At 37.6% G+C, this 17,015-nt stretch overlaps 1 protein-coding gene across 28 annotated transcripts in view; it reads left to right on the forward strand.

Annotated features, from left to right (window-relative positions):
* ZNF138 (zinc finger protein 138) overlaps positions 1 to 17,015 on the forward strand; it is a 66,396-nt gene that overhangs the window by 19,348 nt on the left and 30,033 nt on the right. For 6 of the 28 annotated variants that reach the window (NR_160269.1, NR_073389.2, NM_001271640.2 and 3 more), the window contains exon 2: positions 1,143 to 1,269. The exons of 5 other annotated variants lie outside the window; for them this stretch is intronic. Coding sequence is in view for 20 of the 23 variants with exons in the window: in NM_001271640.2 (NP_001258569.1) it covers positions 1,143 to 1,269 (127 nt within the window). In the remaining 3 variants the exon portion in view is untranslated. Of the gene's footprint in view, positions 1 to 283; positions 373 to 1,142; positions 1,270 to 1,796; positions 1,879 to 2,598; positions 3,562 to 6,444; positions 6,549 to 17,015 lie in introns of those variants that run through there. 17 more of the 28 variants (NM_001367574.1, NM_001160183.3, NM_001271639.2 and 14 more) reach the window with 11 other exon arrangements.

Below are 17,015 nucleotides of genomic sequence, written 5' to 3' on the forward strand. Positions count from 1 at the left end.
TTTGGGGGCAGTATTGCAGCAGTGATGCCGTGTTTTTCTGTGTGCATCAACACCGCATAAAATTTGTCTTAGTGCAGTTGATGTTAATGATTCACTTGGTTAAAGAGCTCTTGGACAGATTTCTTTACTATAGAGTTACTTATTTTTCTCTGCATTATTAAGTATCTTTATGCTGCTGATGTGGATAAACCATCACATTTAATCTGGCAGCTGCCTTTCTATCTTAGGTTTCCTTTGCATATATCTGTCTTTGGAAAATCAAGGCTCTCATCTTTGTTTACAGGCCAGAAAAACTGGGAAAATCACAGGCTCTTCCACTTACTGGATATTTAACAAGATATTCTTCTTGAGCCAAAAACATTGACATTAGCGGTGAGCTTGTTAGAAATTTAGAATATCAGACTTTATTCCATATCTTCAGAAAAAATAATCTGCATTAACCAGATCTCGAGTTTATTGTACACATTAAAACTTGAGAGGTACCTTTTAACTCAACGTGCCTTTTCCATCTGAAAAATACACACAACTTATTCTGTATGATGCACATATAGCACTCAGAAATGGACATGTTTGTGTTTATGCCCTTAATTTTATACTTTATCATCCAGAAGAGTACCATGTGTATGCTGATTCTGTGGATCTTATGCCACTTTCTTTTCTCAGGGCAAGAAGTACATTAGAAAATATTTCTGTTAAAAATTATTTTATGGGCTGGTCCTGGTGGCTCACACCTGTAATCCCAGCACTTTGGGAGGCCGAGGAGGGTGGATCACGAGGTCAGGAGTTCGAGACCAGCCTGGCCAACATAGTGAAGCCCCGTTTCTACTACAAATACAAAAAATTAACTAGACTTGGTGGTGGGCACCTGTAATCCCAGCTACTCGGGATGCTGAGGCAGAATTGCTTGAACCTGGGAGGCAGAGGTTGCAGTGAGCCAAGATTGCACCATTGCACTCCAGCGTGGGCAACAGAGTGAGACTCTGTCTCAAAAAAAAAAAATTATTTTATGAATAATTTCAGTCACTCCTGTAAGACATAATCAGTTTTCCTTACTGTCTTATTTTACCTTGAGTCAAATTTAAAATTCTGCCCATGGCTACTTGGTTAATGTGTGTGTGTGTTTGTGTGTGCGTGTTTTTCAGGGACCACTGACATTTATGGATGTGGCCATAGAGTTCTCTTTGGAGGAGTGGCAGTGCCTGGACACTGCACAGCGGAATGTATATAGGCATGTGATGTTAGAGAACTACAGAAACCTGGTTTTCTTGGGTGAGAATAACTTCAGTACACATTTCCTAATATATCCTAAAGGTTTCATTTTTTTTTTTTTTTGGGTAGAATGTCTTTTGGTAATTTATGCTTTGCATAAATGAGTTTCAGATTCCTGTTTTCAAAAGAATCTTTGAGATTTGTCAGTGTAGAAAACAATTTCTTTAAGATGTTTCATCTTGACCTGAACTTTCCACATTTCTGAGCTGATATGTATCCTTCACTCTAGATTAGTGGTAATTCCAGAAATTTATTGGCGTAAAGTGTTGTTGCCCACACCTAAATCTAACTCCCAACACCAATTATTTTGAATCAATAGTACTGGGTAGTGAAATTAAGAATTTACAAATTTAAAATATTTTCTAAATATTTAGAATTTTCTGTTATATATTAGCATTTTGGGATTAATTTACTAGAATATTCTATTACATTCTCTTTACTGAGCACATTACTAGGTTGGTAATTGGAGAATATGAGCCAGAGTCATGTTACTTATTTTTAATAAAACAAGTATTGCTATCTCTAAGCCAGACCTGATTACCTGTCTGGAACAAGGAAAAGAGCCCTGGAATATGAAGAGACATGAGATGGTGGTAGCCAAACATTCAGGTAGGTGAGAGTGAATACACAGATGGCACAGATGAGAGGTCAAAGGCCAAGGAGAAGACCACTCCTTTAAATGTGATTTGGAAATCTGTATTCCAAAGGAAATAGTTTCTGGAAAGCCTGAGTTTTTTATTTTGCTCTTACATAAGACATCTTCTGTCTTATGTTTTTAAATTCTCTAAGAATTCTACTTTCCCTTTGGTGATCTTTCTTCAAGTTCACAGTGAGAGCCAACGTCCTTTTCATGGCATATAAAAGACTGCACAATCTGACTGCTTTTTTATTGTTTTTAAGGACACGCAAATATCTGCATAATTTTGAGAAACTCTATGTTAAACTATATTTTAAGTTCTCTTTTTGCATCGTATCTGAAATGTGTGAGTAGTGGTTTCTGTTCCATTGTGGTTTTTTTGTTCATTTTTCTGCATATTCCATTCTGTTTTTATTATAGTTTTAAAATGTAGTTTGAAATTATGAAATATGATGTCCCTCTACTTTGTTCTTTTTCCTCAAGATTGCTTTGGCTATTCAAAGTTTATTGTAGTTTCATGTAAATTTTAGAATTGTATTTTTTATTACTGTGACAAAAATGTCACTGGAATTTTGATATGGAGTATATTGAATTTGTAGATCACTTTGGATAACATGGCACTTTAACAAAATTTATTTTTTGAATCCATATAAATAAAATATTTTTAAATTTATTTGTATCATCTCATTTTTTTATTGATATGTTACATTGTAAAAATTTTTTACCTCTTTGGTTAAATTTGTTCTCAGAAGTTTATTATTGTAATGCTATTGTAAAGATTGTTTTCTTTCTCTATTTTATCAGATAATTTGTTTTAAGTATATGGAACCATAATTTATACTTGTATGTTAATTTTATATTTCGGTAATTTACTGAGTATATTTATCAGTATTGACATGTTTTAATGTACTTTTTGTTTTTTAATATATTAGATCACATGGTCTACAACCAGCAACGTTTTACTTGTCTTCAATGGCATTTTTTTTTCATATTTTAAACTAATTCTTTTGCCACATACTTTCAATGCTATGTTAAAATAGAAGTATTGACAATGACACAATATAGTTTTGCATTGGTGCTTGTGATTTTGAAGGAGCAAACACCTCTTCACGTTTTTATATCCTGGTTTCAGGAGGTAAAGATCTTTTGTTGGCCCCCAGGTGATGGGATGCCCTCTGGGTTTGTAATGGAGAGGGGTGTCGCTTGGTCACAAGGCTGCTGGGCCTGCACTAGGGCCCACCTTTACTGGCTTGTTACAACGGGCTTGGGCTGTTGTAATTCCCATTTTATTTTTGGACAGATTAAATATCCTTCAGCACTTTGCTCTGTAGGGCAGCCACTAGGGCAGGTTTTTGCAGTTTGGTCTGCATATGGTGGGCCTTATATCAGGATATGGATGAGTATGGCTTTCACTGAGTACCAGAGAGGATTTTTCCAGGTCACTGTGTGGGTTTCTATGTAGGCAGAACTGGCCATGAACTGTGGCTAAGGGAACTAGAACTGAGTCATTGAAATGCTTCAGGGACCACAGTAAAGGGCAAGGTCTGCAGGCCTGCCTGCATGGCGGTAAATGCGTGTCTTCCTTCCTGCAGGCCTCTGGAAGAGCAGGACCTCTCCCAGACTGTGATTGGGAGGAGTTTGGGATGGTTACAGAGTAAGTTCAGAATTCTCAGTGGGACCAAGTTGGGTGGGCCATTTCTTGGTATGTAGCCAAGAACGGGAATCTTGCAGTTTGCCACCTGAATGAGGGTCTGCTTTCTGAAGAGAACACTCCTCCATCTGGGGTTTAGCAGTTTCACAACTCCCTCCCTGGATCTCAGAGCTCTCTTAAAAACACTTATTTTTGACATGGGGTCTTGCTACATAACCCAAGCTGGTCTTGAAATCCTGGCCCGAAGCAATTCTCCAATGTGAATGTACCATGTAGCTGTCATTACAGGTGTGAGCCATGATGCCTCGCTCTCTGATAAAGGAATTTTTGTCAGGGATGGCTGATAAATCTTTTTGCTGTTGGGGCATAAAAAAATAGGGCATCTTTTATATTTCCATTTTACCGATATAACTCTTCATATACGTTTTTATTTTTTATTTTCTATTTCATATTTATCTGTAATTTTAGATTCAGACATTTAGAACAGTATGCTAGAATTTATAAGTTATGCTGGAAGTAAATTAGTTAATTAGTAGGCACTCCATATTTACTAAAATAGTTACTTATACATTTAAGTTTGCTGTAGGTAAAGAGGAATTACAGGATTTTCACTTACTTTCTTCAGCCTGTATCTTAATAATAACATTATTTATTATTATTATTATTTTTTTTTTTTTTTGAGACCGAGTCTCACTCTGCACCCAGGCTGGAGTGCAGCAGTACAATCTTGGCTTACTGCAACCTCTGTCTCCCAGGTTCTCCTTCCTCAGCCTCCCAAGTAGCTGGGATAACAGGCATGCACCACCACACCCAGCTAATTTTGTTGTATTTTTAGTAAAGATAGGGTTTCACCATGCTGGCCAGGCTAGTCTTGAACTCCTGATCTCAAGTAGTCCCCCCACCTCGGCCTCCCAATGTGCTGGGATTACAGGTGCGATCCACCACGCCCAGCCTGAATATTTCTTTTATATAAGCAGAGGCTCTAACTATATTTTACAAAGTATATGTATATTTCTTTATTTAGCAATGTAAGGGTGTTCTTTGCTTCCACAGTTGGATTACAGCAGTTTCATTTGTGTAGGAGCAGCATATATTTAAAATATCAAAATTATGTATAGTTTCTTTAAATGCTTGTTGAGCCGGATGTGGTGGCTCACGCCTGTAATCCCAGCACTTTGGGAGGCTGAGGTGGGCAGATCACGAGGCCAGGAGTTCGAGACCAGCCTGGCCAACATGGTGAAACACTGTCTGTACTAAAAATACAAAAATTAGCTGCGCATGGTGTCGCATGCCTGTAATCCCAGCTACTCAGGAGGCTGAGGCAGGAGAATCACTTGAACCTGGGAGGCAGAGGTTGTGGTGAGCCGAGATCATGCCTCTGCACTTTAGCCTGGGTGACAGAGCGAGACTCCATCTAAAAAAAAAAAAAAAAGTGCTTATTGAAAATTTCTCATTACAATCTTCTATTCATGGTTATGCTGCATTTCCTCTGAAATTTTACTGCCATACAGTGGATGGCACTAATTCAAAATACCTGCCTTCCATGAGTACACAGTCAAATATTGCAGTTATCTGGACAAATTCTTTCTTAATGTTACACCAATATTACAAGCCAGATTTTATGAGTAAACATGTCTCTTATTATTGTTTTGTAGTTCTGTATTAGTGTGTTTTTTCAGTGTAGGTTGCTTAATATTAGTTTATTGTAATTTTTTTGTTTTACTTACATATTATTATTTAAGACATTTTGCAATTGTTTGTACACTTTAAGTCAATGTGGGGTTTAATAGATAAATCAGGAACATGTCTGTCACAATCAGATTATGTATGTATGTGTTTTATTTACAAATATGACCCCTATTTTGGTTATGGCTTATCTTGTTTATATTCATTCTTAGCTGATTTTCAATGGTCGTTTTATTTTGTGTAAGTGAGTAATCATGGAAATAGTCTTATTTTTACCATGAGTTTTATAATGAATATATATTTCCTTGTGTGAGAGAAACACTTTTGTGGTTTCAGGGTAATTTTTTTTTTTTTTTTTCCATTTTTGGAGATTGAGTCTTGCTCTTTTGCCCGGGTTGGAGTGCAGTGGAAGGATCTTGGCTCACTGCAACCTCCACCTTTTAGGCTCAAGTGATTCTCCTGCCTCAGTCTCCTCAGTGGCTAGGATTACAGGTGGCCGCCACCATGCCTGGATATTTTGTTGTATTTTTAGGAGAGATGGGGTTTCACCATGTTGCCCAGGGTGATCTCAAACTCCTCAGCTCAGGCAATCTGCCCGCCTCATCTTCCCAAAGTGCTAGGATTACAAGCGGCAGCCACCACATCCGGCCTGAGGGTAATTTTTGAAAAGATTTATAATTCTGTATTTTTCTCAGTTTTTCAAAAATTAATTGTAAAAACTCATAACATAAAATTTACCATCTTAAATCTATTCAAGTGTGCATTTCAGGGCCAGGCATTGTGGTGGCTTCCATGTGTAATCTCAGGATTTTGGGAGGCCAAGACAAGAGGATTACTTGAGCATGAAAGTTTGAGACCAGCCCGGGAAACATGGAGATTCAACTACAAATTTTTTTTTTTTTTTAATAGCCAGGCATGGTCTTGTCCACCTGTGGTCCCAGCTTTTTGGGAGATTTAGAGGGGAGAATTACTTGAGCCTAGGAGTTTGAGGCTATAGTGAGTGATAATTGTGCCACTGCACTCCAGCTCAGGTGACAGAGTGAGACTCTGTCCCCGCAAAAAAGCTGTTCATTTCAGGCATGTTAACTATATTCACATTGTTATGCAAAAGACTTTCAGAAATTTTACATCTTGTGAAACTAAAATTTAATACCAATTAAGTAACAACTGCCCATTTTACCTTCTCTTTATCCCTTGACAGACACCCTTCCACTTTGGATTTTATGGGGGCGGAGTGTGACTACTTAAGATACCTTATAAGTGGAATCATCCAGTCTCCATCATTTTGTTACTGGATTATTTCAGGTGATATAATATTCTCAAAGTTTATCTAAAATGTCACAAGATTTTCTATTTTAAGGCTGAATAAAATTCCATTTTGTGTATATGTTACATTTTTTGATGTGTTTGTAAGTCAAGGGACAGTTGCTTCAGCCTTCCAGCTTTTGTGAATACTGGTACAATAAACATAGATGTTCAAATATGTTTTTCAGGTCCTGGGTTGCATAGTTTGGATATAGATTCATAAATGGGATTGCTGTAGTTGATGATAGTTTTATTTTTGAGATGGAGACTGGTTCTGTCACCCAGGCTGGAGTGCTGTGACACAATACCAGGTCACTGCAACCTCTGCCTCCTGGATTCAAATGATTCTTGTGCCTCAGCCTTCTGAGTAGCTGGAATTACAGGCACTCACCACCATGCCTGGCTAAGTTTTGTATTTTTAGTAGAGACAAGGTTTCACCATTTTGGCCAGGCTGGTCTCGAAGTCCTGATCTCAAGTGATCTGCTTGCCTTGGCCTCCTAAAGTGTTGAGATTACAGGCGTGAGCCACTGCACCCAGCCCATAATTTTATTTATAATTACTTGAGAAACATTTATAAAATTTTAAAATAATGACTGCATTCTTGTTTTCCACCAACAATCAACATGGAGTTTATTTTTATTGCATTATCAACAGATTTGGTGTTTTTAAAAAAAATTGATGATGGCCATTCTAATTGGTGTGAGGTGATTGTTTTTTTTTGTTTTGTTTTTGGTTTTTTTGTTTTGTTTTGTTTTTTGTTTGTTTGTTTGTTTGTTTGTTTTTGGGACGGAGTCTGGCTCCGTCGCCCAGGCTGGAGTGCAGTGGTGCAATCTCGGCTCGCTGCAACCTCCACCTCCTGGGTTCACGCCATTCTCCTGCCTCAGCCTCCTGAGTAGCTGGGACTACAGGCGCTTGCCACCACGCCCGGCTAATTTTTTGTATTTTTAATAGAGACGGAGTTTCACTGTGTTAGCTAGGATGGTCTTGATCTCGTGACATTGTGATCCACCCACCTCAGCCTCCCAAAGTGCTGGGATTATAGGTGTGAGCCACGGTGCCCAGCCTAGGTAATTGTTTTTTATTGTAATTATTATGCATTTCTCTACAAATATTAATTTAGTGTGTTTTTTCAAATGCTTTTTCCATTTGTGTATCATTTTTAATGAAAATTTACTTCAATTATTTGTTCATTTCTAAATCAAGTTATTCAACTTTATATTCTTTTTGTTTGTTTGTTTTCGAGACACAGTCTCACTTTGTTGCCCAGGCTAGAGTGCAGTGGCATGATCTCAGCTCACTGCAACCTCCACCTCCCGGGTTCAAGTGATTCTCATGCCTCAGCCTCCTGAGTAGCTGGGATTACAGGCAGGTGCCACCACGCCTGGCTAATTTTTGTATTTTTAGTGGAGACAGGGTTTCACCATGTTGGCCAGGCTGGTCTCCAACTACTGACCTCGTGATCCTCCTGCCTTGGCCTCCCAAAGTGTTGGGATTACAGGCATGAGCCATCATGCTGCTCTTTATTTGGTTTTAAGAGTTGTTTATGTATTCTGAATATAACTCCTATCACATGTGATTTGCAAATATTGTCTTTTTTTTTTTTTTTTTTTTTGAGACAGAGTCTGGCTCCGTCACCCAGGCTGGAGTGCAGTGGCGCGATCTCAGCTCACTGCAAGCTCTGCCTCCTGGGTTCACGCCATTCTTCTGTCTCTGCCTCCCGAGTAGCTGGGACCACAGGTGACCACCACCACGCCTGGCTAATTTTTTTGTATTTTTAGTAGAGATGGGGTTTCACCGTGTTAGCCAAGATGGTCTCGATCTCCTGACCTCAAGATCCACCCACCTTGGCCTCCCAAAGTGCTGGGATTACAGGCGTGAGCCACCGTGCCTGGCCAATTTGCAAATATTTTCACCCATTTTCTAGGAGACCTTATCACTCTATTGAATGCTGTATTTAATGTGCAGAGATATTGAAGTCTAGTGTAGTTCAATTTTTCTGTTCTTTTCTTTGTTTCACATGCATTTAATGTTGTGTCTAAGAAAGTAATGCCAAGATCAATGTCATGTTTTTTTCTTACATTCATTTCTAAGAGATTAACAGTGATTTTTTAGGTCTAAACATTTTTTTTAAAAAAATATTTTTTGTATGTGGTTCGAGAAAATGATCCAACTTAATTTATCAGTGTTATCCAATTTTCAACATTACTTTTCCAAGAGACGATCTTTTCTCTATTGTGTGCTCATGGCAACTTTGTGGAAGATCATTTGATCATATATAGAAGGGTTCATTTCTGGGCTGTCTTGTTCTTTCATCTGTTTATCTATTTTTGTGTCAATACCACATTGTTTTTGTTACTGTAGCTTTTATTATGTTTTGAAATCAGAAAGTATAATGCATCTTCTTTTTAATGGATGTTTTGCTATAGTTTTTAATCAAATTTAAAAATTTTAAACTATTTCTGTAAAAAGATTGCGCTATTAGAATTTTGTTAGAGATTATGTTGAATTTGTTTACCGCTGTATGTTGTATTGACATCTTTGAAAAATTAATTTTTTTATTTTTTTTTTTTTTTGAGACAAAGTTTCACTCTTGTTGCCCAGGCTAGAGTGTAATGGCACGATCTTGGCCCACTGCAACCTCCTCCTCCCTGGTTCAAGTGATTCTCCTGCCTCAGCCTCCTGAGTAGCTGAGATTACAGACATGCACCACCACGCCCGTCTAATTTTGTATTTTTAGTAGAGACGGGGTTTCTCCATGTTGGTCAGGCTGGTCTTGAACTCCCGACCTCAGGTGATCCGCCCACCTCGGCCTCCCAAAATGCTGGGATTACAGGCATGAGCCACTGCGCCTGGCTGAAAAATTAAATTTTTTGACCCTTGAGCAAGAATATGTTGAAGAGTATGTTTTATTTTTATATATTTTTAGATTTTCCAGTTCTACTTTTGCTTTTAATTCCTAGGTTTATTCAGTTTTGGTCAGAAAACACACAGTGTATGATTTTGGTTTTAAATGCATTTGTTGCTGTTTTGAGATGGGATCTTACTATGTCACCCAGGCTGGAGTGCAGTGGCATACTTTTGGCTCACTGCAGCCTCAGCCTCCTGGGCTCAAGTGATCCTTCAACCTCAGCCTCCTGAGTAGCTGTGACTACAGACATGCACTACCATGTTCAACTAATTTTTTGATTATTTGTAGGGACAAGACATCACTATGTTGCCCAGGCTGGTCTCAAACTTCTGGCTTCAATGATCCTCCCACCTTGGTCCCCCAAAGTGTTGCGATTATAGGCATGAACCACTGCACCCAGCTGGTATTCTTAAATTTAATGAGGCAGCTGGGCGCAGCAGTTCACACCTATAATCCCAGCACTTTGAGAGGCTGAGGCGGGTGGATCACGAGGTCAGGAGTTTGAGCCCAGCCTGGCCAATATGGTGAAACCTCATCTCTACTAAAAATACAAAAATTAGCTGGGCGTGGTGGCACGCGCCTGTAGTCCCAGCTACTCTGGAGGCTGAGGCAGAAGAATCACTTGAACACCGGAAGCAGAGGTTGCAGTGAGCTGAGATCGTGCCACTGCACTCCAGCCTGGGTGACAGATTGAGACTCCACCTCAAAAAAATAAATAAATAAATTTAATACGGCTTGGTATGATTTATAACAGAATACACCAGATGCAGATAAGAATATTCTGTATTCTCTTGCTTTTGACTGGAAAGTTTGCACATAACTGTTAAGCCTAGTTGGTCTGTAATATGGTTTGGATGTCCATGTTCTCCAAACCTCATGCTGCAATATAATCCTCAGTGTTGGAGGTGGGACCTAGGGAAGTGTTTGGGTCATGGGGGCAAATTTTTCATGAATGGCGTGACACCATCCTCTTGGTAATAAAAAAATTTACACTTAATTCACATGAGAGCTGGTTCATTGAAAGAACCTAGCTTCTTTACCCCACAATTCCTGTCCCTTACCATGTCACATGTCCAGTTACTCTTTGCCTTCCACCATGATTGTAAGCTTCCTGAGGCTCTCACCAGAAGCAGATGCTGACACACACTTCTTGTACAGTCTGCCAAACTGTGAGCAAATAAACCTTTTTTCTTTACAGATTATCTACTCGGGTATTCCTGTGTATGCAAAATAATTAATATAGTCTATAATGTTGTCTAAGTTTTCTGTTTTCTCTTGATTTTTTATCTGAACTTTCTATTTATTATTGAAAATGGGGTCTTGATTTCTGCAATTATTATGTTGCTATGTATTTCTTACTTGACTTTTGTCAATATTTGCTTTCTACATATTGGAGCCCTGATGTTGTACATGCACATACATAGACAAATATAATAGTTATAAATTCTTGATAAATTTACCCATTTTAGTATTACATAATATCAGTTTTTGTCTCTTGCTAGTACTGGACTTAAAGCATATTATGTTTAATATAATTATGACTTCCTCACGCAATTGTGGTTACTATTTGCATAGAATAAAGATATTTTCCATTCTGATACTTTCAGCCTATTTGACTCAACGCTTATGAGTCTCTTTTTTTTTTTTTGAGATACAGTCTTGCTCTGTCACCCAGGCTGGCTCAATGCAACCTCTGTCTCCTGGGTTCAAGCAGTTCTCCTGCCTCAGTTTCTCAAGTAGCTGGGATTATAGGCATGCACCACCTCACCTGGCTAACTTTTGTATTTTAATTTTTTTAGTAGAGATAGGGTTTTACCACTTTGGCCAGGCTGGTTTCAGCCTCCCAAAGTGCTGGAATTTCAAGTGTGAGCCACTGTGCCAGGCCTAAAATGAGTCTCTTGTAGGCCGCATGTTGTATGCTCTTTTTTTTTTTTTTTTTTTTTTTTTTTTTTTTTTTTGAGACGGAGTCTCGCACTGTCGCCCAGGCTGGAGTGCAGTGGCGCGATCTCGGCTCACTGCAAGCTCTGCCTCCCGGGTTCACGCCATTCTTCTGCCTCAGCCTCCCAAGTAGCTGGGACTACAGGCGCCCGCCAACAGGGCCGGCTAATTTTTTGTATTTTTAGTAGAGACGGAGTCTCACCGTGTTAGCCAGGATGGTCTGGATTTCTGACCTCGTGATCTGCCCACCTTGGCCTCCCAAAGTGCTGGGATTACAGGCCTGAGCCACCGCACCCGGGATTGTATGCTTTTTTCTTAAGCCACTCGGGCATTTTCTTTTTCTTTTTCTTTTTTTTGCTATTTATTTATTAACTTTTTTTTTTTTTTTGAGACAGAGTATTGCTCTGTCGCCAAGCTGGAGTGCAGTGGCACAATCTCGGTTCACTGCAACCTCTGCTTCCCGGGTTCAAGCGATTCCCCTGCCTCAGCCTTCTGAGGAGCTGGGACTACAGGTGCTTGCTGCCATGCCTAGCTAATTTTTGTATTTTCGGTAGAGACAGGGTTTCACTATGTTGGCCAGATGGTCTCGATCTCCTGACCTGGTGATCTGCCCACCTTGGCCTCCCAAAATGTTGGGATTACAGGCATGAGCCCCCGCGCCTGGCCATTATTCATTTAGTTTTAAGATACTGTTACACTTCGTCAATCAGGCTGGTTTGCAGTGGTGTGATCATGGCTCACTGCAGCCTCAAACTCCCAAACTCAGATGATCCTTTTATTTCACCCTGTCAAGTAGCTGTTTACACGTAAGTACCATTACACCCAGCTAGTTATTTATGTATTTTTTGTAGTGATAGGGTTTTGCCATGTTACCCAGGCTTGTCTTGAACTTCTGGGATCAAGTGAATAGCCCCCCTTGGCCTCCCAAAACCCTAGGATTAATTTCTTCCTATTGAATAGTTTAATTTATATTTAAATTGATTGTTTAAAGAAAGGAAATTAGTTACTAGTTTGTTATTGTTTTATGTGTTTCCTGTAGTTTTTTTTCTGTTTTACTGCCTTAATTTTTGTTTATTTTAATTGTGTAGTGACGTGCTTTGATTATTTATTTGTTTATTTATTTATTGAGACAGAGTTTCGCTCTTGTTGCCCAGGCTGGAGTGCAATGGCACGATGTTGTCTCACCACAACCTCTGCCTCCCGGGTTCAAGCGATTCTTCTGCCTTGGCCTCCCAAGTAGCTGGGATTACAGGCATGCACCACCATGCCCGGCTAATTTTTTGTATTTTTAGTAGAGACGGGGTTTCTCCATGTTGGTCAGGCGGGTCTCAAACTCCTGACCTCAGGTGATCTGCCCGCCTCGGCTTCCCAAAGTGCTGAGATTACAGGTGTGAGCCACCCAGCCTGGCCTTAATTTTTTAAATGTGTGTATTTATTAATATATTAATATTTCATTTAACCTTTTTTTAAAATTTTTTTTTAGACAGAGTTTCACTGTCTTCACAGAGTTTCATTGCACCCAAGGCTGGAGTGCAATGGTGTTATCTCGGTTCACTGTAACTTCTGCCTTCCAGGTTCAAACAATTCTTGTGCCTCAGCCTCCCAAGTAGCTGGCATTAAAGGCACACACCATAATTGCCAGCTAATTTTTGTATTTTTAGTATAGACAAGGTTTTGCCATGTTGGCCAGGCTAGTCTCAAACTTCTGGCCTCAAGCAGTCCACCTGCCTCGGCCTCCCAAAGTGCTGGGATTACAGGTGTGAGCCACTGTGCCTGGCCTCATTTTTCATATTCTGTAGAAGAAGTTTAAGGGTTTTATGCACCATCATTATTATAGTAAAGAATATGTGTCTATATACATTTATAATAAAGAGGTTTATATTTATAAATGTTTTTATAATGGTGTCCATCATTTTTCAGCATAAGGGACTCATTTTAGCATTTTTTTTTTTTAATATGCAGTGTCTTACTATGTTGCTCAGGCTGATCTTCAACTCCTGGTTTGAAGTGATCTGACTGCCTTGGCCTCCTAAAGCTGTAGAATTACAGGGATGAGCCACTGTGCTTGGCCACCATGAAACTTTTTTTTTTTTTTAAGACAGAGTCTCACTCTGTCACCCAGGCTCGAGTGCAGTGGCACAATCTCGGTTCACTGCAAGCTCTGCCTCCCGGGTTCACGCCATTCTGCCTCAGCCTCCCGAGTAGCTGGGACTACAGGCACCCGCCACCACGCCTGGCTAATTTTTTGTATTTTTAGTAGAGACAGGGTTTCACCGTGTTAGCCAGGATGGTCTCGATCTCCTGACCTCGTGATCCATCCGCCTCGGCCTCCCAAAGTGCTGGGATTAACCATGTAACATTTTTTTGTAGAAGTGTTCTAGTGGTAATAAACATCCTCACCTTTTATCTTGGAGAGTCTTTATTTTTATCTTGTTTTTGAAGTCAATTGTGAATCAAGTATTATTAGTTAGATTTTTTTTATTACATCAAAATTTGGAAAGTTTTCAGACATTTTTGTCTTCAAGAAAGCTCTGGATTACTTTTTTTTCAATATTCTTCTAAGATTTCTTTCATGAATATATTGATGTACTTGATGGTGTCTAGTAAGTTTTACCTTTCATGTTTTAATTTTCTTCTGCAATTTTATACCTGTGAGTTAGATATTTTAGGGTATGCCACCTCACACCAATCAGTTGTATTTTGATGTTTATATTGTGTATGACAATATTTATCTCTGTACAATTTAAGACAGTGTGGAGCAAAGTCAAATATGAACCATATGTCTACTGCCGATATAATTCTCTGTTTGCCTCTATGAATATTATCCTTGTGTTTTTTATAACTTATTTATTTGTGGTGTTGGTTTATTGTGAATGGTTGTTTAATCTTGTCTAGGTAAAAAGTCAAAAAAATTCTCCTAATGTCAACATTTATTTGTGAACCTATATTATGTTTGTTTGAGAGAAAAAACTTTTGGATTTGAAGATAATTTAAAAACTATCATAATTCTGGTTTTTTTTTAGGTATTGTTTATTTTTACCTGTCAAAAACACATAAAAAATTTACAATCAAGTATTTTTAAATATTCAGTTTAGTCATCTTAATGTTATGCAACATATCCCTAGGATGTTTTTACCTTGCAAAGCTACATCTCACTACACATTAAACAACTACCATTTTTTTCCATTTCATGGCAGTTTTCAAACACTATTTTGTTTCCTGATTCTAAGAGTGTAACTGCTTTATATATCTTAATACAATCTTTTCCATGGCTGGCCCATTTCATTTTGCATGTTATGAAGATTTATGCTTATAGTTGTTACAATATTTCCTGCTTTTTGAAAAATGAGTGATATTTTAAATTATATTTACTGAATGATTTGTTGACCGAAATTTGCATTGCTTTTACCTATTGGCTTTCACTAACAATTCTGCAAAAATTATGAGTATAAAAATGACTCTTCATATGACTGTATATTTGAAAGTATATATATGTTGCATTCTATTTTATTAGTCTACTTTTTAACATTTGTACTCATACCAAATTGTTTTAATTCTGTAGCTTTGTAATATGTTTTGAAATCAGAAACTGTTCTGCCTCCGACATTGTTCCTTTTTTTTTTTGAAGTTTGTTCAGTACTTTATTGTCTCTCGACATTTTATATACCTTTGGTGTTGCTGTTTCTATTTCTTGAAAACTGCAATGAGAAATTTGGAAAACATTGCATTAAATCTGTATATTACATTGAGCAGTATGGATATATTTACAACACTTATTATTTCAACCTTTGAACAGGAGTATGCTGAAGAGTGTGTTGTTTACTATCTATATATTTGTGAATTTTTGGTGTTTTCTATTGTTGTATACTCTTACTCCATGTTTGTCATAGAAAGTGATCTATACAAATTCAGTTGTAAAAAATTTGTTAAGACTTCTTTTTTGGCCTACCAAGTGTTCTATTGAGGAGAATGTTGTATGAGCTATTGAGGAGAGTGTGTATCATTAATGTTGTTAGGAGTATTCTCTATACCTCTGTTAAATATAATTGTTTTATAGTGCCTTTAAGCCCTCTCTTTCCTTACTAATATTTTGTCTTATTTTTATTAGAGCAAGTAAGTATTAAAATACTCTACTGTAATTATATTGCTCTCTATGTGTTTCCTCCATTCTTTCAATATGTACTTTACATATTTGGAAACTTAATGTGAGATACACAAACTCAAACACACACACACCACACACACACATATGTAGAAATTTGTCATAGGTTCCCAGTGAATGAATCTATTATTTTGTAATTTTTAAAAATCTCTTTGGCGTTTTGACTTTAAAGTATGTTTTATAAAATGACAGTCTTTAACTTAAGATGCAGCTTGTGTAATATTATTAATATATTTTAACCTGGTAAAAAATAAACTTCAGTTGCATTCAACAATTCTTTCTCATTACATTTGTTCTCAATTTTGTTGGTGATGTTGCTAATTGTATTTTTCTATGTGGTATGTTAGCAGATGTTTATAAAAATTTTTATGCTTTTATCTTTCACATTTTAGAGAATAATTAGAAATGTTTTCTGCACTATTATGATAATGCTAAGGAATTCCATTTTTGTGTATGTGCATGTCTTCCCTAGAAAGTTATGTTATAATGGTAAGGAATTCCATTTTGTGTATATGCATGTCTTTCCCAGAAATTTATGTATTTTCATATGATTATGTGTTGCTTTCTTGCATTGTGTCATTTTTAGTGGAAGAAACTCCTTTCAGCATCTTTGATATGTAGCACAAATGGCAGTGCCAATATACTTTTTCAGGATTTGGTTATTTTGGAAGGTCTTTTTATTTGGCAGGACAGTTTTGCTGCTGGTATTATTCTCACTTGACAGCTGTTTTCTTCAGGACTTTGATTATGTCACACAGTTTTCTTCTGGCCTGCAAAACTTTCATGAAAAATTAACTGGTTATCTCATAAGATTATGCTTATAAATGACACATTATTTTCATCTTGCAGCTCCCAAGATTCTCTTGTCTGTGACTTTTTAAATTGTGCTTATATATGTGCTTGTTATATAAATATCTTTGTGTGTATTCTAGTTTGTTGAGCCTTTTCATTTTTACATCATTTTATCTTACAGTATTTCAGTTATTTTTTGTATTTTTTCCCTCCACAATTTGTTTTTTAATATCTTTCATTGTTTTTGTTGTTATTCCCATTTTTCTGATTTTTAATAGTTGTCTGTGTTCCTGTTACACTAGTGGAGTATTATTCAATTTATTTTAAATTTTTAAAATATATTTGTGCATCTTTTTTTGTTTTGTTTTGTTTTTGTTTTTGAGGCAGAATCTTGCTCTGCATTGGCCAGGCTGGTCTTGAACTCCTGACATCAGGTCATCTCCCCACCTCATCCTCCCAAAGTGCTGGAATTACAGACATGAGCCACCATGCCCAGCCTGTATCTTCATTTTTTAATGCTTGCTTTCTGAAAATTTTATAATAATTGATAGGGCTATGTTGCCCTAATATTTTGTATACATTGTAATCTTCAATTGAAATTTGAACATTAAAAAAAGCTACCTGTCAGTGTTTATAATGCAACTTTGTCCTGGCAAAGTCTGAGAC

This window comes from Homo sapiens, chromosome 7, assembly GCF_000001405.40.
Source record: "Homo sapiens chromosome 7, GRCh38.p14 Primary Assembly".
In the NCBI taxonomy this organism is placed as follows: Eukaryota; Metazoa; Chordata; class Mammalia; order Primates; family Hominidae; genus Homo; species Homo sapiens.